The sequence below is a fragment of the Homo sapiens genome, chromosome 6, assembly GCF_000001405.40.
Source record: "Homo sapiens chromosome 6, GRCh38.p14 Primary Assembly".
Taxonomy (NCBI): Eukaryota; Metazoa; Chordata; class Mammalia; order Primates; family Hominidae; genus Homo; species Homo sapiens.
The window spans coordinates 144,374,107-144,399,056 of NC_000006.12; the positions used below are offsets into that span (position 1 = coordinate 144,374,107).

General features: G+C 39.8%; 1 protein-coding gene and 1 pseudogene across 1 annotated transcript in view, besides 1 other annotated feature; both read left to right on the forward strand.

Annotated features, from left to right (window-relative positions):
• The window catches only part of UTRN (utrophin), a 567,700-nt gene that overhangs the window by 88,772 nt on the left and 453,978 nt on the right, over positions 1-24,950 (forward strand). The window lies entirely within an intron of this gene.
• Positions 13,567-13,861: a silencer, noted in NCBI's record as "tiled region #7657; K562 Repressive non-DNase unmatched - State 22:ReprW". NCBI's record gives its function as "represses a minimal TATA promoter and a strong SV40 promoter by Sharpr-MPRA in K562 cells {active_cell/tissue: K562}" and the evidence as "EXISTENCE:reporter gene assay evidence [ECO:0000049][PMID:27701403]".
• Positions 23,857-24,732, forward strand: LOC100420214 (rhomboid domain containing 1 pseudogene; annotated as a pseudogene).

The following is a 24,950-nucleotide window of genomic DNA, read 5'->3' on the forward strand; positions in this document are numbered from 1 at the left end:
CGTGATGGAGAGAAAGCAAAGAAACCAAGAATAGGATAACGCTATGGAATGCCTCAATCTTCTTTTAGTTTTTTATTTTTGGTTGAATAATTTTAGTTTAGTTCATGGAATAAGGTAAATATTTTACATTTGTTAATAACTCCATACTTTGTTCTAGGTTCAGTGGCTTACAAAAATATGTATAACAAAACAAAATTAAAAAATGAATCAGTAGAGACAAAAAGAGCATGGATGTTAAAATGTAACTAAAAGATGCCCTGCACGGTGGCTCACTCCTGTAATCCCAGCACTTTGGGAGGCCAAGGCGGGCGGATAACTTGAGGTCAGGAGTTTGAGACCAGCCTGGCCAATATGGTGAAACCCCATCTCTACTAAAAACACAATTTTTTTTTTTTTTAGGTGGAGTCTCACTCTGTCACCAGGCTGGAGTGCAGTGGCGTGATCTCGGCTCATTGCAACCTCCGCCTCCCGGGCTCAAGTGATTCTCTTGCCTCAGCTCCCAGAGTAGCTGGGACTGCAGGCACGTGCCACCACACCCAGCTAATTTTTGTATTTTTAGTAGAGATGAGGTTTCACCATGTTGGTCAGGCTGGTCTTAATCTCCTGACCTCGGGATCCGCCCGCCCCTGCCTCCCAAAGTGCTGGGATTACAGTTGTGAGCTACCGCGCCCAGCCTTAAAAATACAAAAATTAACTGGGTGTGGTGGCCTGCGCCTGTAATCCCAGGTACTTGGGTGACTGAGGCAGGAGAATCACTTGAACCTGGGAGGCGGAGGTTGCAGTGAGCTGAGATTGTGCCTCTGCACTCCAGCCTGGGTGACAGAGTGAGACTCCATCTCAAAAAAAAAAAAAAAAAAAGTAACTAAAAGGAAATACTTAAAAAATACTGGAATTCCTCAATCTTGATGAACTATCCTTTCCATGTTTTCTCCCATAGTTAAACAAGGAGTTTTTACTTCTTTTGGGCAGTAGCTACATAGTATGAGACTTCTAGTAGTGCACTATGCTAACATCATCACACTTGAATGTTTTTTGAAAATATTTTACGTAAAATACATGTCCCAGATGGACTCTATTCTTTAGTTGGTTATCTAGAATTAACATTTGGATTATGTTTGCTAAATGCGTCAGCCATATCCTAAGCGCTGTGATCCTTTTAGAACTATTAACAGATGAGACTGGGGGGCATTTTATGGTTATAAGAGCTAAATGATATTTATGCAAGTGTGTAAACATTAATAACTCAGCGTTTATAAGCATGTTAGAATATTTGATTATGGCTAGGGAAATGCATATTAGCTATCTAGCACAGATCTAAAAGTGATCTGGGCTATACCTTTCATTTCTGGATTTCTTTCCTTAAGCTTAAAGGGTGTTCTAATTTCATTATTATCAATCTCAAGATCATTTCACAGTTTCCTGGTGGTTGGGTGTCATGGTGACTTTTTGTTTTCCAGGCTCTTTGTTTGGATATGTGGCCTTGTTTGAGTTGTCTTTGATTGCTATATATCTGTACCCTTGTTTGCTTTTGCCTGGCTACTGATTCTCAGTGTTTCACTTTGACCTTTGATAAAGCTGTGACTCTGATTCATTTTTAGGGGGGATTCACCTCGTTGGTGGAATCTAGCCTTGCCCTGCCAGGCGGCTGCCTGGGTGTTGCTTGCTGGTTGGAATGTATCCATTGAAGGCCTTAGATGTTGGAGTCCTTGCTTCCTAGCTCCACCTCTTTGTTTCAGGGCACCACTCTTCTGGTCTAGTGCACAGCCTGGTCTCTGTCAATCAGCACGTTCTGCCTGGCGTTTTATGGCATGTTTTCTTCCCCCCCACATAGGGTAGCAGCCTTTTTATAAGTTGTAATGGGTTTTTGATACCCACTGTCATTTTTCTTTTCTTTTTTTTGAGACAGGGTTTCACTCTGTCACCCAGGCTGAATGCAGTGGCACGATCACAGCTTCCTGCAGTCTTGAACTCTGGGACTCAGGCAGTCCTCCCACCTCATCCTCCCAAGTAGCTGGGACTACAGGTGTGCACCACTATTCCCAGTTGCTTTTTTTAAAAAAGTTTTTTGGGTCGGGCCGGGTGGCTCACGCCTGTAATCCCAGCACTTTGGGAGGCCGAGGTGGGTAGATCACGAGGTCAGGAGTTCGATACCAGCCTGGCCAACATGGTGAAACCTGGTGTCTACTAAAAATATAACAATTAGCTGGGTGTGGTGGCGTGTGCCTGTAATCCCAGCTACTCAGGAGGCTGAGGCAGGAGAATCGCTTGAACTCGGGAGGCGTGAGTTGCAGTGAACTGAGATCATGCCACTGCACTCCAGCCTGGTGACAGAGCGACACTCTGTCTCAAAAAAAAAAAAAAAGTTTTTTGTAGAGACAGAGGCCTCACTATGTTGCCCAGGCTGATCTTGAACTCCTGGACTCAAGCAATCCGCCCTCCTCGGCCTCCCAAAGTGCTGGGATTATAGGTGTGAGCTACCATGCCCAGGCTTCCCAGTGTCATTCTGATTTGAATTTTTCTAGAAAGATTTCTAGAATTTTTCTAGAATGATTATTGTATCCTAAACATTTATAGCATTATGTTCTTTACTTTTTATTGCTTAGAAAAAAATAGTTTAGTTACTACTGGTAATTTGCAAATTAAAGAATTATGTATAAAATTGCTATAGGTGCCTGTGGTTAAATTCTTTTACCAAGATTTCACTTCTAGAGAACTGAAGAATTTACCAAAGTAAAAATGGTCTAACTTTATTACTTGGTTTATAGAAATGAATAAATCATAGTTAATAGTACAGTATATTAATAATACTGTGCTCTAAGCTACAGATTAGAAAAATATGCACCCTGTTTGTCACAATAAATGGAGTGACCAAAGCTATAGTATTTCAAATCTGTGACTATTATATATTTTTCTATACCAAGTCACTTCTTTTTTTGTTTGTTTGTTTTTGGGACAGAGTCTTGCTCTGTCACCCAGGCTGGAGTGCAATGGTGTGATCTCAGCTCACTGCAACCTCTACCTTCTGGGTTCAAGTGATTCTCGTGCCTCAGCCTCCCCAGTAGCTGAGATTACAAGCGTGCACCACCACACCTGGCTAATTTTTGTATTTCAATAGAGAAAGGGTTTCATCATGTTGGCCAGGCTGGTCTTGACCTCCTGGCCTCAAGTGATCTACCTGCCTCAGCCTCCCAAAGTGCTGGGATTACAGGTGTGAGCCACGGTGCCCGGCCTGTACCAAGTAACATTTCTTTCTGTGTGCAGGAATATACATGTGCTTGTTACAGAGTTGAGTTTATCATATTCTATCACCATGTATTTCCCATAAATCTATTAAGTTAAAATCTGTGCCACTTATCAAAGTTTGGAGTGATTACATATATATACATAACCCTATATGATCTTTGAATTCAGAGCCTTGATGCTAGCCTGAGAGTCTGTGTGTATGAATGCAGGTGGCAAGAGTGAGGCATGGATTGTTGCTATTTTTTCTACCGGAGTGCCATTATTAACAGTTTCTTTTCTGTATAGTCACTGTGAACACTGTTGTGGGGCTGCTCCCTGTGTGTGGCTCTGCCTCAGAACCCACAGAGTCGGCTGGCTCCCAGACCTACTCTGTCTCTGGTTACAAGTCAGTGTCTTATTTACTGGAAGTTAAAAGACAGGGCACTGTTGATTTACACTGTGCTTCAGCATGCCCTTATTAGTATTTCTTGGTTCTTCCATCAGTGAGTCTCTGATTTCTTCACCAAAAAATAATCTTGCAGAGAGTCATGATCAACCCTGTTTTTATAAAACACTGAGCTTTGGAAAGGGAAATGATTACTCATCACAACTCTAAACACTAGGATAAAATGTTCCCATTTAGATCAATCAGGGGCCAATTTAATTTTCTAATGAACTTTAGAATTGCTTTTGTGGTCTGCCTTTAGGGACTATTATTATACCAGCTTTTCTTCTTTTTAATGTTTCTAGAAGTCAATTTTCATCTTTGCCAAGAATTAAAGGATCCTTAAACATGTGGAAAAGATGAGAAAAACAGTCAGTGGATCATCTTGATGATGATGGTCTTGCAATTTTGCAGAAGGTTGAAAAGGCAATACATATAACAGATTCATGTTCTTTCTATTGAAATGGACAAGTTAGAGGTCTAGATTGAATACACTCTGTGTTTAGACTTAATAAACACTTTCAATAAGCTTATTCAATATTTTTTAAATTGACAACCTGTATTGGGAACTGCATATACTATAGAGATCAAAGTTGACATTTCTTGCCCTCTTGGGCTTACCCAAAACAATATGTAATCAAATTAAGATAAGTACTGGGTGCACAAGGAAGGAAAACAGGTTGCCTTTAGAGACTGGAGGAGTCGTCCAGAAGTCCGCTCTGAAGAGAAGATGTTTAAAATTAAACCTGCAATGTTCGTCTGAATTAAGCAGGTTGAGAACAGGGTGAAGGAGGCAGGCATAGCAGCATGAACCAATATCCCGAGGCAGGAAAGGGCTGGGTTTGTCAGAGTAACATGAAGGTCAGTGTGCTGGAGCAAACTGAGGAGGGTGAGTGTTTCAAGACAAGGCTTGGCATAGGAGTGGTCAGATGATTCAGGGCCATATGAACCATGTTAATTTAGTTGTTCCAAAGTTCAGAGAGTTGATTAGAAGGAATAAGAAGAGAATTTAGGAGACAGTGTCAGAAGGTTATTGGCTTTAGGCTGGAGGCAAGAGATGACAGTAGCTTGGACTGGGGGTTGACAGTGGAACTGAAGAGATGTGGATGGACTCAAGCTGTATTTAGGAATTAGAACCAACAAAAGTTGATAGAAGGGTTAGATTGTGGTATTAGAAGAAAGGATTCATTTCAGCATCCTGGCATGAACCAGTGAATGGATGAAAGTGCTTTTCCGTAGTTGGGAAAGACTAGAGGCAGAATAGATTTGAGAGAGAAGCAACAGTTCAGTTTTTTGATGGGTTAAGGTTGAAATGAGTCTGTGAGCTATCTCAGTGGAGATGTCAAGTAGGTGGTTAGTTACATAGTATGTGTTTATCTCTTGCTGCATAATAAATTATTATGAAACTTAGCAGCAAATCTATATTAGTTATCTATTGCTCTGTAACAAGTCACCCCAACATTGGTGCTTTAAAACAGCAAATATTTATTATCTCATGCAGTTTCCTTGGCCAGGAATTTTGAAGTGGTTTAGCTAGGTGATTCCAGTCCAGGGTCTGTCATGAGATTGCACTCAAGATGCTGGCCAGGGTTGCCATCATCTGAAGCTTGACCGAGGCTAGAGGATCTGATTCCAAGATGGCTTATGTACATGGCTTTTGGCAGAAGGTCTCAGTTCCCTGCTGGTTCTCGGTCGAAGGCCACAGTTTCTCGCCACGTGGGCCTCTCTCTAGGGTGCTTGAGTGTCTTCATGACATGGCTGTGAGCTTCTCTTAGAGTGAGAGAGATATGAAAGAATGCAAAGGGGAAGCTGTAATACTTTTAGTCTCAAAAGTCCGACTCATCACTTCTGCCATATTCTATTCAGTAGAAGTGAGTCACCAATTTCAGCCCATACTCAGTGGGTGGGGAATTAAGCCCCCCGCTTGAATAGACAGCCACCAAATAATTTCTGAATGTATTTTAAAACCACCACACATGATTTTGTAATTGAGAAGAAAGGTTTGGGCTGGAAATAAGACATTAGGAGTTTTGCACATAGATGCTGTGGAGTGAGTAGATGCGTGACCACTTAGTAAAAGTGTGAAGAGGTCCAAGACTGATCCTTTAGGAAATCTAACTTGTAGAGGATCTGCTGTGGAGGAGTGGAGGAGAAGGAAGAAATGGAATCTGGGAAGATGAGAAGAATTTTTCAGGCAGGGAGTGTTCTATTCTGTGGAAGCCTACTGGAATGTGTATTTGACTTTCATTTTTAAGAATTTATTCTCTGAATGAATGAAGAATGAATAAATAAATGTCATGTATATGTTCAAAATTTTAATTCTAAGTATGATTGTTATTGAAATGCTTATAAAATTAAGAATGGAAATCAGCATTAGGAATGCATAATAACAGAGTGGGAGATATTGGTAAAAAATTATTTAATGTCCAGACAATAAAATACCTATGAAGCTTTAAAATGACATTATTAAAGAATGTGCACTGTAATAAAAACAGATTTATAAAGTATTTTAAATAAATATAAAATACTATGTAAGGAAGAAGCAGACAAAAATGTCTAGGAGGATGTATATAAACCTGTTAATACTGGTTATCTCTGGGCAGAGGGAAAATGGGTGGTTTAAGTTTCCTTCCTTTGGTTTGTCTAAATCTTCCTTAATAAATGGAAATTGCTTTTGTAATAAAATGTTTGAAAATATCCCCTCCCAAAATAAAGAAAAATAATGAAAATAATGATAGTTGAAACTCAATTGAGGGGCCCGGCATATTGGCTCATGCCTGCAATCCCAGCACCTTGAGAGGCTGAGGTGGGAGGATTGCTTGAGGTCAGGAGTTTGAGATCAGCCTGGGCAACACAGCAAGACTCCATCTCTAAAATAATTTTTTTAAAATATTAGCTGGGCTTGGTGGCTCATGCCTGTAGTCTGAACCACTCAGGAGGCTGAGGTGGGAGGATTACTTGAGCACAAGTCAAAGCTACAGTGAGCTATGATTGTGCCATTGCACTCCAGCCTGAAGCCTCAAAAAAGAAAAAAAAACTTGATTGAGAAAAATTAAAGTACAACATTTGGCTCTGAACTTCCTGGCAGCCAAGACAAAATGATACAAAGAAGATCTCTGATCTTTGTCAAGACACCCTGCTTTATGCCTGGTCCCCAAAGTGAGCAGAAGTGAGGCACCTTGCCCTCTAAAGCAATTCCTTTCTTTTTTTCTTTCTTTTTTTTTTTCATTTGAAGGATTTCTTTTTTAAACTTTTATTTTAAGTTAAGGGGTACATGTGTAGGTTTGTTTCATGGGTAAATGTGTGTCACAGGATGGGGGTTTGTTTACGGATTATTTCATCATCCAGGTATTAAGCCTAGTATCCATTAGTTATTTTTCGTGATCGTTTCCCTCCCCCCAACCTCCACCCTCCAATAGACCCCAGTGTATATTGTTCCCTGCTATATATCCATGTGTTGTCATCATTTAGCTCCCACTTAAAAGTGAGAAATGTGGTATTTGGCTTTCTGTTCATATGTTAATTTGCTAAGGATAATGGCCTCCAGCTCCATCCATGTCCCTGCAAACAACATGATCTCATTCCATTTTATGGCTGCATAGTATTCCATAGTGTGTATATGCCACATTTTCTTTATCCAATCCACCACTAATGGGCATTTAGGTTGATTCAAAGTCTTTGTTACTGTGCTGCAATGTCTTTGTAACAGAGCAATTTATATTCCTTTGGGTGTATACCCTGATATGGCTTGTCTGTGTCTCCACCCAAATCTCATCTTGAATTCCCAGGTATTATGGGAGGGACCCAGTGGGAGTAATTGAATCATGGAGGCAAGTCTTTCCCATGCTGTTCTTGTGATAGTGAATAAGTCTCACGAGAACTGATGGTTTTATAAAGAGGCGTTTCCCTGCACAAGCTCTCTCTTTGCCTGCTGCCATCCATGTAAGATGTGACTTGCTCCTCCTTGCCTTCCACCATGATTGTGAGGCTTCCCCAGCCACATGGAACTGTAAGTCCATTAAATCTCTTTCTTTGGTAAATTGCCCAGTCTTGGGTATATGTTTATCAGCAGTGTGAAAGCAGACTAATACATACTCAGTAATGGGATTGCTGGGTCAAATAGTATTTCTGTCTTTAGGTCTTTGAGGAATTGCTATGTTGTCTTCCACAGTGTTTGAACTAATTTACACTCCCACCAACAGTGTGTAAGTGTTCCTTTTTTTCTTCAACCTCGCTAGCATCTTTTATTTTTTGCCTTTTTAATAATAGCCATTCTGACTGGTGTGAAATTTATATCATTGTGTTTTTGGTTGGCATTTCTCTAATGATAGTGATGTTGAGCTTTTTTTAATATGCTTGGCCACATGTATGTCTTCTTTTATTTAAAGCAATTTCACATAAGCTACAGCGATGTTCTTAAGTCTTGGGAAAACAGAGGGCATACTTTAAAATGTAGGTTCTGTGAAGGCAGTTGTGCAGGCACAGGGTAGATTCCTATATGTGGCTTAGGTAAGCTTTGTGATGATTTGGTATAACAAAGTGGTAAAGTTTTTATTATCTTGAGAATACAGCAGTTGGTATTCCCTTAGACCAGATTCCTTCACATCTCTGGATGACTGGGCTGCACCTGATTCCTTAAGCCTGGCTGGAGTCAAGGAGTCTGTATTCTAAGACAATTCTCCAGGGGATTCTGATGTTTTGCTACATCTGGGAATTTGTGCAGTGTACTATTCTTTTTGACCATGATGACAGTTGGGTTTTATTGAGAATTAACCATGTGGCTCTTGCCGCATGCTGATTATTATCTTTAATTCTCATAACAATTGTTTAAGGGTTGCATTTTTACCCTCTTTGTATATAGGAGAAAAATAAATTGTTCAAGACATAAAGCAGTCAAAAAGCAGTTCCATAAAGTAGTTGGGAGCTGAGTTTTACCTTATAAGGCTGTTGGGATCAAATGAGATAATGTGTACAAAGTGGTTAGCCCTGTGTCTGGCACATAGAAAGTGTTTAATAAATGTCAGTTTTATTATGAGAAAACATGATTCATGGATGGAGACTCTGATAGCATCCTTAGTGCATGCATCTCCCTATTCCAGTCATCTGTCCTTCAGTGTTACGTTTTAGATCAGAGTTATAGGACATGTCAGGCTTATTTTATCTTATTTTCTTTTATGAGACAGGTTCTCACTCTGTCTCCCAGGCTAAAGTGCAGTGGTGTGATCATGGCTCACTGCAGCCTCGAACTCTTGGGTTCAAGTGATCCTCCCACCCCACCCTCCCAAGTAGCTGGGACCACAGGCATATGCCACCACACCCAGCTAATTTTTGTACTTTTTGTAGAGACAGGGTTTTACCATTTTGCCCAGGCTGGTCTCGAACTCCTGGGCTCAAGTGATCCACTCGCCTTAGCCTCCCAAAGTGTTGGGATTACAGACATGAGTCATTGCGCCCAGGCCATTTCAGCCTGTTTAACATTCCTTTTGCAGAGCTGGAACATCCAACTCCAACTTGTAGACCAGAAATACTCCTGAATTTCTTTCCTCAGACTTATCTCAGTGGCACCAGATTGAGTTAGGATTGAGTTTAGCTGCAAGTAAGAGAAACCCTTTTACGATAGATTAACTAAGAAAGAACTCATTTTTCTCAAGTAAGCTTCAGTCTGTAGGTAGGCAACCCAGGGCTGGTTACCTGCTCAGGGAAACTGGCAGCTTCTGTCTTCCTGGAGGAAGCAGAAAGGCCCAGGGCAAGATGTTCATGCCAGCCAAGTCTGTTAATTTTTATCAGGGAAATAATAGTTCTCCTGGGTCTTCCACCCAATATACTTCTCCCCTCCTCTGGGCGGAATTGAGCCAAATGGTTATCTCTAGTTGCAAGGCAAGGTGAATATTTTAACTGGCCACCTTGCTACAGGGAAAAAAAATGGGATTAATCTTGTAAGTGAGAAGGAGAGAAAGGATGCTTGAGTAGGCAACTAGCAGTGTGTACCATAGTGAGTTCCAGCAAATAGTTCTATCTTAAATACCATGTCTAGAGGCATGATCAGAGTGAAAACAATTCTGATTCTAGAATTCAGGTTACCTGTAATTATATTCTGAAAGAATGATAGGTTGAAAATATGAGTATTAAAAGACAAAATTGGAACCAAGTACAATTTCTCCATTTGTCTTATAGGGGAATATATGAAAAGTTGAGATAAATTAATCTCTTTTCTTCAAAAAAATAACACTGTGAAATGAACATGAAAAATGTTTATTGCATCTGGTTTTTTTCCTCTATGTTTTATTTCAGTAAAATACAGATAACATAAAATTTATTATTTTAGCCATTTGAAATGTACATACATCTTGTTATATAACCATCACTACCATCGTTCTCCTGAATTCTTTTCTTGTTGAAAAACTGAAAATATATACCCATTAAACCAGGGGTCCCCAAGCCCTGGGCCACAGGTCGCTACTAGTCTGTTGCCTGTTAGGAGGCGAGTCACACAGCAGGGGGTGAGCGGTGGGTAATCGAGCATTACCTCCTGAGCTCTGCCTCCTGTCAGATCAGCAGCGGCATTCGATTCTCATAGGAGCACGAACCCTATTGTGGACTGTGCATGTGAGGGATGTAGGTCGTACACTCCTTATTAGAATCTAACTAATGCCTGATGATCTGTGGTGAAACAGTTTCATCCCGAAACCACTCCCCCACTGCCTCCCCCACTGCCCCGCCCATGGAAAAATTGTCTTTCACAAAACCGGTTCCTTTTTGGTGCCAAAAAGGTTAGGGACCGCCACATTAAACAACAACTCCTCACTCCTCTCTCCTCCTAGCCCTTGGCAACCACCATTTTACTTTCACTATTCTAGGTACCTCATGTAAGTGGAATCATACCATAGTTTTCTTTATGTGACTGGCTGTGTCACTTAGCACACTGTCCTCCATGTTCATCCATGTTGTAGCATGTGTCTGAATTTCCTTTCTCTTCAAGGCTGGTTATTATTCCATTTTATGTAAATATCACATTTTGCTAATTAATTGATCTGTTTGTGGACACTTGGGTTGCTTCCATCTTTTAGCTTTTGTGAATAGCGTTCCTATTAACATGGATGTACAAATATCTCTGAGATTCTGCTTTCAGTTCTTCTGGTTATATCATTGCATATGCTTTTTACTCAGATCCCGTTTCTCCTTGACATAACCCTAGGTAATGGTAGTTAGCTTACTCTTATCTTGAGGGAAATGCTAAAGTTTTGAGGAAAGATCATTCATCCAAATCTTTTTGTTTGATTGACTCTTGCTAACCTCCAAGAAAAATTTGTGATCACGAGTTATATTTTATACAGTCCATAGGTTCAGGGAAGGGAGTAATTCTAGTGTTCCTAAAAGATGCCATTGCAGTGCTGTAATGCAGAAAAACGCTAGGTTTTGGGGTGTCCTTAGGAAGGAGACAAGAAAGAAAACAGAGAACGTTATCCTTCCTTTGCAAAGCCATGTTGACTGTGCACATGGATTACGATCTGAGATTCTGGTCTCCTACTTAAATGATTTAACAGTGGAAGGTATTCTAGTGAAGGAAACCCAAGTCCCGGAGCGAATGCATTTGTTACTTTTGTAAAACTGACTAAGGTGATCAGTACTCTTCAGTCTAAAAATATGAAAGTGGAAAGAAGACATACTTACCAGCTATAAGCTTATTTCAGAAAAGCAAACATAAACTTATTCTTCTAACCTTCAACAGTTATCTGGACTTTTTGATGCTTAAAAGACCAGCAAATGTTCAAGACAAATGAGAGGAAGAGCTATTTTACACTGAAGATATAATTAGCAAGTTTGCAGTACCCAGTGATAGTATAGACTGAATTTACAAATTTTTTCTTTTAAAGGCAATAAATGTCAGACTCACAGTAGACTATTAAATAAAGACAGTGCTGCCAGAACTCTATTTTTTTTTTTTTTTCTTTTGAGACGGAGTCTTGCTCTTTCGCTCAGGCTTGAGTGCAGAGGTGCGATCTCGGCTCAGTGCAACCTCCGCCTCTTAAGTTCAAGTGATTCTCCTGCCTCAACCTCCTGAGTAGCTGGGATTACAAGCGCACACCACCACACCTGGCTAATTTTTGTATTTTTAGTAGAGACAAGGTTTCATCATGTTGACCAGGCTGGTCTTGAACTTTTGACTTCAGATGATCCACCTGCCTCAGCCTCCCAAAGTGCTGGGATTATAGGCATGAGCCACTGTCCCCGGCCCAGAACCCTAATTTTTAACAGTGACAAGAAGTTAACATGAAGGAAGTCATTAGGAAAGTGAGTGGCCTGTAAATGAAGTTTCTTGCGCTTTTGCTCAGGCAATGGATTTTATCTGTCCCCCTCATCCAACCCTACCTGAATGAGCTTTTTAATTAAAAAATTCATTAGTAAGGCTGGGAGCAGTGGTTCATGCTTGTTATCCCAGCACTTTGTGTGGTGTAGGCGGGCGGACTGCTTGAGCCCCGGAGTTCGAGACCAGCCAGGGCAACATGGCGAAACCTCGTGTCTACAGAAAAATACAAAAATTAGCCAGGCATGTTGGCACATGCCCTCCAGGTACCTGGGAGGCAGAGGTGGGAGAATCGCTTGAGCCTCGGAAGTTGAAGGCTGCAGTGAGCCGTGATCATACTACTGCACTCAAGCCTAGGTGACAGAGTGAGACTCTGTCTCAAACAAACAAACAAAAAGTATTAGTAGTTTATGTGAACCTTTTCATAGTTATGAAAATTAAAAATAAGAATATGTATTTTTCAATATGAGACTAAACCTTTCAATTATTTTATTTATTAACTTCCAATTTATACCCTTTTAGGCAAAGAGTTCTGTGATTTATGGGCCAATTTTTAAACTGTGATGTCCATGGGAAGAAATTTTTAGCCCTGAGTTTTGAAGGGGAATGCAGTGTTCCTTTCTGACTTGTTTTTCCTGCTTATTATAAATATTTATCTTGGACAAAGGATTGCATTTTAGCGGATGTGCAATTTTACAAATTTAATTATTAAAATGACTCTTCTTCCTTTTTTTATGATCTTACATTTTGTTTTTAACTTGTCATGGCGGATATTAAAACACTCCAAATAAAGACAAAAAAACTCAATATAAAAAAAAACCAAAAACCACTTCCGAAATACTCCATTTTTTCTTATTTAAAAAAATGCTATTTATAGTAGTAGTTGGCATTTCATCAAAGTACATAAGCAAAGGACAGATACTCCTCATTTTTTCCCAGGTTTCTATTCTTTTTCTGAAAGTGAGTAAAATATTAGGCTTTGGAGAAAGTCTAGGTAGTTTGGTGTGATCTGTTGGTAGCATTTTGTTTTGCCTTAATCTTCTATTTTTTTCTTCCCATTTTATTTATTTATTTTTTTGAGATGGAGGCTCATTCACTTTGTCGCCCAGGCTGGAGTGCAGCGGCGCGATCTTGGCTCACTGCAACCTCCGCCTCCTGGGTTCAAGAGATTCTCATGTCTCAGCCTCCTGAGTAGTGGAAATTACAGGTACGTGCCACCATGCCTGGCTAATTTTTGTATTTTTAGTAGAGATGGTGTTTCACCATATTGTCCACTTCTTGAACTCCTGACCTTAAGTGATCCTCCTGCCTTGGCCTCCCAAAGTGCTGAGATTACAGGCATGAGCCACCATGCCCGGCCTTCTTCCCATTTTAATAACTAATGATTTTGCCTTAAAATACTTGAATTTATTGCAAAAGGTGTATTTTAAATGATTCAGCTCCCTCTTCCACGGTGTTTCTGTAGTGAATAGACTGGAAGCTGGGAAGAAAGTGACCTCCATAAACACAGTTATTTTACATTATTTCTCTCTCTGAAGAGAGAATTAGCACTCTTTTTCACTTCCAAGTGGAAAACCCACTGGACAGGCAGGTGCAAATAAAGCAATGTAAACCGGCAAGTTTCATTTTTAGAAATATGTGGGCTTTATCCAGTTTAGGAGCTTAGCTCCCGATACATTTCTGTCTCCCATCCTTTGGGATTTGGGAGCTTTTTTTGTTTTTGGTTGAGTGTTGGCATCTACAGTATCTCCCTTCCTCCTAGATCCTTCCTGTCTGCATGTAAATACAGATATGCAGAAGTCTCCCTTATTCTTACCATCCTCCACCAAAGCAGACAGACCCGCAGACAGACAGACCTTGTGTCAGCCCAGTTTATTTTTTAGCTGACAAATTCTCTTCCTTTCCTACTTGTCCTCATTAAAGTGGAGAAAAATACACCTTTTACAAGATGGGTGCATTAAAGAAAAAATGTTACAGAAGGTATTACGTATTTATTACAAACTTAGAAAATATGGCTAACAAATAATAGAATATAAGAGTCACTCAGAATCTTCTAACGTACAGATACAGTGCTAACATTTTGGCTCTTGGCTTTCTGTCATACGTACACTTACGTATAAGTGAAGCACTGTGTATATTCTTTAATGACCTGCTTTATTACCCCTTAATACATTGTGAAAATCCTTCCATGTCTTTCCATATTCATTATATGTATCTGAATATCATTTTTTTAACCTTTTGTGTTTTTTTTTAGAGACAGGGTCTTACTTTGTTGTCCCACTGGAGTACAGTGGCACAACCATAGCTTACTCCAGCCTCAAACTCCTGGGTTCAAGCGATTGTCCCACCCTAGCCTCCAGAGTAGCTGGGACTACAGGTGTGGACCATTCTGCCTGGCTAATATTATTTATTTATTTATTTATTTATTTATTTATTTATTTGAGACAGGATCTCACTCACCCAAACTGGAGTGCAGTGGTGTGATCACGGCTCACTGCAGCCTCCACCTCCCCAGATTCAGGTGATCTTCCCACCTCAGCCACCTGAGTAGCTGGGACCATGGCGTGTGCTACCATGCCATGTGCTACCACACCTGGCTAAGTTTTGTATCATTTTGTAGAGATGAGGTTTTGCCATGTTGCCCAGGCTGGTGGCTCAAGCAGTCCACCCACTTGGGCCTCCCAAAGTGCTGGGATTACATGCATGAGCCACCTTGCCCTACCCGCTAGTATCCTTTTTAATGCATGAAAATATACTTTTAAACAGTTCTCATGGATGGACACTGGGAAAGCTAGATGCCTGTGAGAGTTTGAGCTCCTCAGTGTGAAGACCCTCTCCTGTCTGCTCTAATGTTGCATTTTCCTGGTATGAACCCTGAATATCTGACAGAGGTCTCAGTTAATTTAGAAAGTTTATTTTGCTAAGATTGAGAGTGTGTGCCTGTGACACAGCCTCAGGAGGTCCTGATGATATGTTCCCAAGGTGGTCAGAGCACAGTTTGGTTTTATACATTTTAGGGAGACATGAGACATCAATCAACATATGTAAGATGAACATTGGCTTGGTCTGGAAAGGCAGGACAACTCGAAGTGGGGACGGGGCTTCCAGGTCATAGGTTAATAAGAGACAAATGGTTGCATTCTTTTGAATATCTGATTAGCCTCTCCGAAGGAGGCAATCAGATATGCATTTATCTCAGCGAGCAGAGGGGTGACTGAATAAAACGGGAGGCGGGTTTGCCCTAAGCAGTTCCCAGCTTGACTTTTCCCTTTAGCTTAGTGATTTTTGGGGCCCCACCGTTTATTTTCCTTTCACACTGGGCTTGCTTGATAAGTTTACCTGAGTATGCTGCTAATCTCTCACATTTTTTGGTGCAAAGAGGAATTTCTTTCCTTAATCAATTTCTTTCTGTGCTTAAAAAAATTTTTTTTGCACTTTTTATTTTTTAATGGAGAGACACCATTCTTTAAGTTACCAAAGTCTGAGAAGTTTTTGCACATCCCTTTCTCCTTCATTACTCTTTTTTTTTTCCCCCCCTGAGACGGGGTCTGGCTGTGTTGCCCAGGCTGGAGTGCAGTGGCATGATCTCGGCTCACTGCAACCTCTGTCTCCCAGGTTCAAGCGATTCTCCCGCCTCAGCCTCCTGAGTAGCTGGGATTGCAGGCGTCTGCCACCACGCACAGCTAATTTTTGTATTTTTGCTAGAGACAGGGTTTTACCATGTTGGCCAGGCTGGTCTTGAACTCCTGACCTCAGATGATCCGCCCATCCTGGCCTCCCAAAGTGCTGGGATTACAGGTGTGAGCCACTGTGCCCAGCCTTTCCTTCATTACTCTTATAATAATTCAGTAGTCCAGTCCCAGCATGGGGGTGGGGGACTTGGAGTAATATTGGTCAAAGAATATAGTTTGACAGGAGGAATAACTTCAAGAGATCTATTGTACAAGGTGATGATTATAGTTAATAACAATTTGGTGTATACTTGAAAATAGCATAGAGAGCAGATTTTAAGTCTTCTCATCACAAATAAATGGTAAATATGTGAGGCAAAAGCACTAATAAATAAAATTTTGTCTCTTAAGAGCCATAGAGTCTAATTGAGAATAGAACGGGAGACACGCTGTATAATAATGATCATGCCCATCCACCTCACCACGTCCCAGCAGCAACCTTCTCTCTTCAATTCAATACCTATTGCATCCACCTCCCCCTTTCTTGTCTCATTACTTCTCTACTCTTTCAGGCTCGCTGATGTCTAGCACGGGCAATTCTAATAAGCCTCAAACTGGCTTACTTTCTTCCGGCCTCCCTCCCCATGAGTCCATTTTTCATGTTAATCTCACTAAAGCACCCTTCTGATCATGTCACGCTCTTGCTCAGGAAAAGCCAATGGCCCACATTACCTGCTCATTTAACCCCTTGCTGTGGCCTTCAAAGTCCTCTGCAATTTAACTGCAGCCTGTTCCAAAATTCAGTGGCATCACAGCTCTGATAAAAAACCACCCAGCCAAAGGAACCTCTTCACAGTTGTGTCTGCATCATGTTTTTAGGACTTTGCTGCAGCTGTTCTCTCTTCTACAAATGCCTTTCTAACCATTTTTACGTGCCCCAAACATAGTAATTCAAGATCTAGCTCAAATGCAACCTGTTCCTCAAATCTTTCCGTGATCCCCTTTTCATCCCCATCAAGACATATTTGTCTATGAATTTATGAATGTATCTGTACCTGATATATTAGTTATAATTTTCTGTTGTCTTAGTCCCTTCCCCACTCATCCCAGGCCACTGGACCACAGCTTCCTTGAAAGCAACATCTGGATCTCTTTTGGGACTGACACATAGTAGATGCTCTGTAAATGTTACTATTTCTTTGTACAGTGTTTTTCACAAAATAGTTGTACAACTAATTGTTATATTTAATAACAATTAGTCATTTAGACTAGAAAATATAAAACTTAAGACAACAAACATAACAAAGAGTTGGAAATATTCCCAGTTCTTTTTTTTTTTTGACACAAGGTCTTGCTCAGTCACCTAGGCTGGAATGCAGTGGTGCATTCACAATTCCCTGCAGCCTCAAACTCCTGGGCTCAAGCAATCCTTCCACCTCAGCCTCTTGAATAAGTGGTACTACAGGCATGTACCACCATACCCAGACACTTTTTTGATTTTTTGTAGGGACAGAGTCTCCCTGTGTTACCCAGGCTGATCTTGAACTCCTGAGCTCAAGAGATCCTTCCTGGAGGCCACCCAAAGGGCTGAGATTACAGATGTGAGCCACTTGCCTGGTCCCCAGTTCTTATTATGTCAGTTTATTTGACTAGAAGTCTTACAAAATGACCTAAGCCAATTTGATTATGCGTAATTATAAATTATGGCTTTTTTTTGATTGGTAATGTTGGCTCCCAATGCCACTGTCTTCCTATAAGGGTCATAATAAAGGCAAGTTTCAGACCAAATCCTGCCATTAACATTGGCATTCATTAAGCAATCATTATTCGCAAGTAGGCTCGAAAAACAGTTCATACAGCTTGCATGTAAAGTTGGTAAGCTGCAGCTCTGTGTCATTTTTGTTTTTTTTGAGACAGAGTCTCTCTCTGCCGCCCAGGCTAGAGTGCAGTGGTGCAATCTCGGCTCACTGCAAGCTCCGCCTCCGGGGTTCACACCATTCTTCTGCCTCAGCCTCCCCAGTAGCTGGGACTATAGGCATGCACCACCACACCCATCTAATTTTTGTATTTTTACAAAAATACAGGGTTTCACCTGTTAGCCATGATGGTCTCGATCTCCTGACCTCGTGATCTGCCCTCCTTGGCCTCCCAAAGTGCTGGGATTACAGGCGTGAGCCACTGTGCCCGACAGCTCTGTGTCCTTTTGAAGGTCATAGTTAAAGTAAATGCAGCAATATTCTAGAGCTGTATAATTTGGTGCATTGGGTGCTGAGTTCCTGAACTGTAGCTAGTCTGAATTGAAATAATGCTGTAAATGTAATATACACACAGGATTTCAAAGGCTTAGTAAGAAAAAAAGACTATAAAATATATTTTCAAGATGTTTTAAAATATTGAGTATATGTTGAAATGATAATGTTTTGGAGATATTGGGTTAAATAGTACATATTACTAAAAATTCATTTTACCTGTTTTTTAATGCGGCTTTTAAAATTATGTATGTGACTTTCATTATCTTTTTATTAGACAATGTTGTCTTAGGGAGAGGATTTAGTCTTATAATCAGCAGCAGATAACTAAAATCCTCCAGCCAATGGCTGAACATAGGACCTTTAGGGATCTAGCCTCCCAGACTCACTAGATTTTTATATTCTGTTTAATCAGTGGTGGGGCATGTCTAGAAAATATTTTGACCAATCCTTGTTCATTGAATAACACTAAAATCAACAGTGGGAGAATATTTCTAACATTCTAATTATGCCAATTATTAAGCCACAGTAAAAGCACATTTCTCATATTCATTAATTAACAAAGTCTCTGGTGTTGATGAAAATAAAGATAACTGATGCCTTTGTAGTGGTCCACTCTGGAGTTTAGCCTTTCTAATTAAATTATAGCTGAACTTCTCTGGAATGTTATACTGGCTTGGCACAAATGTGAGCCTCTAGTGTGGTTTGCACACTGGAATATGTGTGTCTTACTGTGATCTTGGCAAGCTTTTGTAGTGGTTAAGGCACCCAAGATAGCATCCTACCTGTCTCTTTTCTTAGCGTTCCTTTCATAATTCTTCTTTTTGACTTTATAAAAGAAAGTCATACCTCTCACTCTCCTCAAATTTTACTGTGCTGCATTGCTGTGAGGCATCAAACAAGAGGACAATTTAAGAATGCAAAACAAAGAGCAATCCTTTACAAATTTTTTAAATGGCTGGTGCTTGTTGCATCCAGGGCAAGGCTTTGTGTCCAGCTGCCATCCATCCATCCATCCATCCATCCATCCATCCATCCATCCATCCATCCATTCATCCATCCATCCATCCCTTTATCTTAGAAAGAGAATTCTGAAGTGAGATGTTATTTGGAAACACCTATAACATGGTTTTTAAATCCAAAACCAAGTCAGACTCCTCTTGTCAGAAAATAAATCTGCTTTGGCTGATTAGTTTGACAGTGAGGACTAGTTTTGCCAATTAGGTACCAGAGGAGGCATTTTCTATTAATTGAATGAGCTAAATTTGCAACTCCTTAACAACATGCTAGAAATTACATCTTTTTCACGATTTAAATTTATGATAAATATCAGTTCTCAACTTTAAAATGTGCATGGAAATTCTTTTGGAAGTTCACGAACAAGAGTGTTTGAAGCTTCTGACTTAAACTAGTTTAACACAAGCATATTACACTTTGTATGTTGAAATCTTCTAAAGTATATTATAGACATTATATAGGAAGTTTTAAGAAGAAAAAGAAACGATGGAAAAAGGCAATCCAGAAGAGAAATGGTAGAAAGAGACTGACCCACATGGTGCAGGGAGCCCAGACTGGTACAGCAGGATGGCTCTGTGGCTGAGAATTCCAAGATGGCGGCCTGTGTCATGACACGTCAGAGAAGGGTGTTGAAAAAGAATATTCAGTGACGCAGGATGGAGGGAGGTTTGAATGTTCAAAAAAGTAGAACAGGCAGAAGGAGGTGGGTTCTGAAAATGAAGAGGAGAGAAAGAGGGGGAGAGTCTTTGCTCCAATGATTCTCCAAATGATGGGGTGTAGTAAAGAAGGCTTGGCAGATTTGTTTGAGGGGATGTTCATTGTGGCCCTTAAGGTTATGTAAACTTTTGTAGATGTCTAATCCTGACGAGCTGGAGACACTTTCTCTTTGACCCATGAGTTTTTTGAGGTTGCATTGTTCTTTGATGCTACCTGGAGACTCTCCTGTCTGGAAGAATGGAAAGATCAGTGCTTTAATGTATGTGGATTGCTGTTGTCTGGGTCTTGTCTATCTCAAGGTGTTGTATGGGCTCTGACACACAGAGGACTAAATTGAAGTAAGGAAGCAAGCCAAACTGTATTATTGCTGGTCCATTTTATCCATTGGAGTTGTTGGCTTCAGAATGTCATCATTGGCTTTTACAATGCTCATTCACTGCTTGATGCTTTTCAATTTATTATTGAATTATCATATATATGTGTATTAGTCTCTTCTTATGCTGCTAATAAAGATATGCTGGAGACTAGGTAATTTATAAAGAAAAAGAGGTATAACGGACTCATAGTTCCACGTGGCAAAGGGACGTCTCTCATGGCAGCAGGCAAGAGAGAATGAGAGCCAAAGGAAAGGGGAAACCCCTTATAAAACCATCAGCTCTCATGAGACTTATTCATTACCACAAGAACAGTATGGGGTAAACCACCTCCATGATTTATCTTCTACCAGGTTCCTCCCATAACCCATGGGAATTATGGGAGCTATAATTCAAAATGAGATTTGTGTGAGGACACAGACAAACCATATCAATATGTATTCTCTCACAATATATTTTTTATTTGACTATGATGACCCGGTGTCATGATCTTAGAAGACACATGGCATACAGTGAAAGGTTTCCTACATTAGCTCTATAGAAAACATAGCATTCCTATATATGCATCTGGAGAGATATTTGGGTAAAGTATTGTTCTCTTTTTCTTTGGATATTTTATACATTTTTTTGTTTGAAAATTGCTGTTTCTTGGATATTATATTGTTTTATTCTGTGAATTTATGAGGAAGATCCCTCATAACATGAGGAAAATAATGAAATAAATAAAGTAATTAAAATGAGAAAAATATTATTTGAATAATTAGCAGTCTTACAAGGACATATTTTTGCTGCTATTTTGACAAGTAGAACTTGTCATGAGAAAGTCTGAAGGTCAAATCACTGGAATGGTTTTTACATTCAAAATGTTTTCCCCATTTTTTTTCCAGGCTTATACATCTAGAATTATATGTTAATGAGATAGTTGCTTTTTCTTGAGATTTCTGCAGACAGTTTGTAGAACATAATAGATGTTTATTTGATAATAATAAAGTGAGGAATTTAATTTCATAGAAATTTTCTTTCATAAGTTTAGCCTTTTGTCAATCAATAAAAAAATGTTTTCTGTTGGCTTTTCATGACAGTGACTCATATCATTATGACTAATTCACTGTGTCCTAAATAATCCCTCCTTGTTCTATGACATTTCTAGCAATTTTAATGAAAATCTTCACTCCAGGACAAAAATTCAAAGTGAAGTGTTTGTATGTAAGGTTTACAATCTCTACCACCATAAATGGAGTCTGTTTTTCTGCATTTGCAACACATATAATATGGTTGATAGAAAAGATGTTGAGTTTTTTTTTTTTTTTTTGCAAAATATATTTCTAGAGGAAAAGTTTCAAACAGTGTCGGATGCCTGTAAATCTTAGAAACATTCTTTCAGTTTAAGTTTAGGCGCTCTAGAAAGTGCAAGTAGAAAAACATTATCTCCTATATTCCTATGCATTGTTTAAAAAAACTTGAGTTTGTTGAAAAGAAAACAGGTTAAGAAGTAAATAAACTAAAATTAGAAGATGGAATTAATGGTTACATTTAATTCTGAAAATAACTATTTTGAGAGTAAATCAATCATTTGGCAATATGGTGTGGATTAAATGTGAAAAAGCAATTTCTGAATCCCAGCTACTTCAGGTTAGCATGCTGTTAAACTTGAACTCATTCAGAAAGTCTTCAGGAGGTGTCTAAGTTTGGGGGTTTTGTTAGGTAGTTTCTGTGTTTTCAAAGTCAGTCTTACACTAGGATGGCTATACATTTTTTTTTAAAGGAAAATAACAAATATTAGTGAGGATATGGAGAAATTGGAACTCTCATGCATTATGGTGAAAATGTAAAATGATGCAGCCACTATGGGAAATAGTTTGCTGGTTCCTCAAAAATCTAAACATAGAATTACTGTATATTAACCTAGCAATTTCACTCCTGCATCTACACCCAAAGGAACTGAAATCGGGAACTCAGATACTTGTACACCAGTGTTCATTGTGACATTGTTCATAATAGCCAAAAAGTGGTCAACTAGTGCTCATCTTTAGACAAATGGATAAAGAAACTGTAGTTTATACACACAATGGAATATTTTTTACCCTTATAAAAGAATGAAGTTCTGATACAAGCTACAACATGGATGAAACCTTGAAAACATTATGCTAAATGAAATAAGCCAGACCCAAAAGGACAAATATTGTATGATTCCACTTACATGACATATCTTAAATAGGCAAATGCATAGAAACGGACAGTAGATTAGCTATTACCAGGGGCTGGTGGGTATGGGGACTTATTGCTTAATGACAGCAGAGTTTATGTTCAGTGTGATGAAAAAGTTTTGGGACTAGATAGTGGTTATGGTTGTATAACACTGTAGGTGTAACTAATGCCACTGAATTGTATGATTAAAAATGACTGAAATCACAAATATTGTTATGTATTTTACCACAATTAAAAAAAATCTATTAATATGCCAAAAACGATTGAATTGTAAACTTTAATTGGGTGAATTATATAGTAGGTGAATTTAAATGGGTAAATTGTATGGTAGGTGAGTTCTATGGTAGGTGTGTGGATGAATTGTATGGTAGGTGAATTTTATACCTCCATAAAACAGGTTTTTAAAAAGAGGCAGTCTTGTGAGTAGGAGGAGAGCTAGGTAAGGAGACATGAATCTTGATTTGATTTATGGCACCATCCAACTGCATGTCATGAGGGGTAAGTCCTTGACCTCTCTGGTCACAGGATGGAATCCCATCAGGCACCCTCTTATATACTTCCTACTCCTGTCCTCTGTGGCTCCGTGATAGTAAGGTGGATAGTTTTGGTGGGTTAGGTTGGTTCTCAGCTGGAACAAATATGTTCCTCTGGCCAGGCACAGTGGCTCATGCCTGTAATCCCAGCACTTTGAGAGGCCAAGGTGGGTGGATCACGAGGTCAGGAGTTCGAGACAAGCCTGGCCAAGATGGTGAAACCCCGTCTCTACTAAAAATACAAAAATTAGCCAGGCTTGGTGGCACACGCCTATAATCCTAGCTACTTGGGAGGCTGAGGGAGGAGAACCGCTTCAACCTGGGAGGCAGAGGTTGCAGTGAGCCAAGATCACACCATTGCACTCCAGCCTGGGCAATAAGAGCGAAACTCGGTCTTAAAAAAAAAAAATGTTCCTCTGATGCTGAACATGATATAAATTCTAAATGCAGTCCAGATGTGGCTGTAGACATTCTAGGATCCCAAGGCTCCATAATTGCCTTCAGTTTTGGGCAGAGTGGATGGGTCATTGGGTCATGCTAGCAGAGCATGTGCTTGCTTAAGGAGGTTGATTTTTTTCAGATAATCTCGATTTTATTACAAGAACATTTTTAAAGCATATATTTTAACTCCATACCCTTCTTCTCTTTTATGGGCATATACAGTTTTCAGGATTGAAAACTTCTGAAATTTGGATTGTCTTAGCCTTATTTTGACATCATTAGATGTTATAGCCCTCTGTGTTTTCTTGTAGATACCAAAATTATATTAAACATGTTCTTTTTTGTGAGGTATTGAGTCTGAGGCTGAAATGAAGAGGTATTGACTAGGCTTATTCTATCTAGAATGTCCTTCCCATCTTTGCATGAACCATACTTCATCTATTTTTCAAGATATATTTTAAAGCCTTCTTTCCATTAAATTATCTTTAACCTCCTCCTACATGGAAGTGCATTGAACACAGGCTCCACAGTCAGTTAGACCTGGTTCTCTCTGTGGCCCAGCATTTGCTGGGTGGGTGATGCTGGACAATTCATTTAACTTCTGCCTCAGCCTTCTCCTTTGACAAGTGGAGTTGTTTTCCTTTCCCTTCTCACTTCCACCATTTCCACCTCTCCTTGCCTTAGGGCAGAGAGGAGTTACCAGCAGAAAGACTGGCAGCATTGCCTGCTGTCTCCTGCTCACCATTGCTGATGATTGGCATTTGTATTTCAATATGGCGTCCGTGCTCTGGAAAGGAATAATCTGGAAAGATGACTGGGAAGTAGATGGTTTGCCTGTGTCATCACCACGTTTTCCCTGTTCCCTGGGGTGGTGTACCTGCTCTTGCAATATTCTCTAATTTCTGGATGAACCTGGCTTTGGAAGGTACTGTGCTGTAGGTTTTTCCAGGAGTTTTGTTTGCTTTGGAGTTTCTTAACAACCATCATTGCCTTGGAGGCTTTGTCAACATTTTGGGCTTCCTTGTCCTCAATAGATTTGCTTGTTGGGCCACACTTGTGCCTTTTCACTTATTCTCACCAGGGACTTCCTTCACTGGGCATCTGGCTGGGATTCTTCTTGCATTAATGCACACTCAAGGGCCTCTGAAGAACATCATGGAAGCATGTGCTGGCATTTTTTTCCCTCCAATTATTGGTTATCCAGGACAGTGATATTACTTCAATTGTTCAGGCTAGTCTGGATATCAGGATCATTATCTTTATGGCAGGCCAGGTTATTATGAAGAAGCACCCAGGAGCTATGATACATACACAGCAGTACGGAGAGAAAAAGAACAGCTTGTGAGAGCATGAAGAGCCAGCCCCTGGGATCAAGAAAATACCAGGAATAGCTCACTGCCCTGCGGGCTTCTTCTCTCAGAAGAAATGAGACTATAATGGCTTCACAGGTTTGATAGCCAGTGAGGTGACACAGCATCTTGGGAAGACATGGTCCACTTGTGTTATTATTGCCCATCGGATTCATTCCCCAAGCAACTAGTTCATTGTAAACTAAAGCAAAACATATCGTTAAAAAAAAAAAATCAACTTGTATTTAGCTTTTTACAGAGTGAAGTGAAACTCTGTTTTAAATGCGGTTTTTAGCTTTAATAACGTCAAGGTTTAAATGTGGCAAACTCACAAAAATATCATTTGAAATGTTAATTATCTAAACTTCTTGTACACTTAGGTAGTTTTGACAATTCTGAAAACTACATTTTTAATTTTG